Source organism: Homo sapiens, chromosome 17 (genome assembly GCF_000001405.40).
Source record: "Homo sapiens chromosome 17, GRCh38.p14 Primary Assembly".
In the NCBI taxonomy this organism is placed as follows: domain Eukaryota; kingdom Metazoa; phylum Chordata; class Mammalia; order Primates; family Hominidae; genus Homo; species Homo sapiens.
Window position 1 is genome coordinate 56934471 of NC_000017.11, and position 1510 is coordinate 56935980.

Below are 1510 nucleotides of genomic sequence, written 5' to 3' on the forward strand. Positions count from 1 at the left end.
AGTGACTAAGACCAAAGCAGAATTTGCACCTGGGTCATCACTGTGGCAGCCACATTCTAACCACTCACCATCTCTGTGATGTCATCTCCTCTTGAGTCTGTTGTCTCAGAAGTAAAGTGGAGGGTGGGGCTTCTTTATTTGGAAGGTGGCTTCTGGTTTTAACATTATAAGACCTTCCAATGGCCATAAGATCGGGTGCCTAAATTCCAGTTGAGACTCACTGTTTAGACCACTGCATTATTTCCTCATTGAGTCCATCAGAACACGGGAGATCCCAGCAGTAGATCCTTAAGTCATTTAATTAAAAAAAAAAAAGAACACGGGAGAGACATATTCTCATGGCTATCACATTCTCATGGGTACACCTGGTTGTTTCATGCACTGGGTGTTGATTGCACTCTTATATTTAGGCTGTGAACCTTTAGAGTGAACAACTATTTGAGGCAGGATGCAAATACCCTTTTGATTAAATTAATGTAACTTTTGCAGGCTGGGTGCGGTGGCTCATATCTGTAATCCAAGCACTTTGGGAGGCCGAAGTGAGCAGATCACTTGAGGCCAGGAGTTGCAGACCAGCCTGGCCAACATAGTGAAACCTGGTCTCTACTACAAATACAAAAAAAAGCCAGGTGCAATGGCGCACACCTGTAGTCCCAGCTGCTCAGGAGGCTGAGGCATCAAAATCGCTTGAGCCTGGGAGGCGGAGGTTGCAGTGAGCTGAAACCGTGCCACTGCACTCCAGCCTGGGTGACAGAGCAAGACTCTGTCTCAAAATATATATAACTTTTGCAAAGTGAAATGAATCCATCATAAGAATACCCCATGCTAATAACTCAGTCATTATTCTTTTTCTGAATATTAATGAGTTGAACTTTATTAATCACCCTCTTTTGAGTCTGATTAGAGGCTTAAGAGTAGATCAATACTTCTGCACATCTGCTGTGTGCCAGGGTCTAGTCTAGCATGATTTTAATTTTTCACTATAAGTCTGAGCATGGGTTAGGCCCATGCTGCAAATGAAGACACTCACCCTAGGTAACCTGGCTCAGATGTGGACCCAAATCTGACTTCAAAACCTGTTTTCTTTCCACGATGTCAGTGGTTCTCCAAGTGTGGTCTATGGACTCTTGCCCTCAAGACCCTTTTAGGGATCTGCAAGGTCAAAGCTACTATGATTATGTTGTCTTTTCACAGCATTGATGTTTGCTCTGATGGAGCAAAACCAATACGGAATGAACTGCTGCACTTCAGCATAAATCTGCTAGTGAGTGGCACCACTGGGCCACGCACTCATAGTAAGGGGCAAAGCCAACTGCCCTTAATATCCTTGATAGAGTAACAATTATTAACATTATTAAGTCTTGACCCTTAGAGACACACCTTCATAAGAATACATAAGCACTTCTGCATTCCATAATACAATGGTTGTCTCAAGGAACAGCACTTATGCAATTATTTGAATTGTAAGCTCAACTAGCCACATTTTTCATGAAAATACCATTTTTACTTG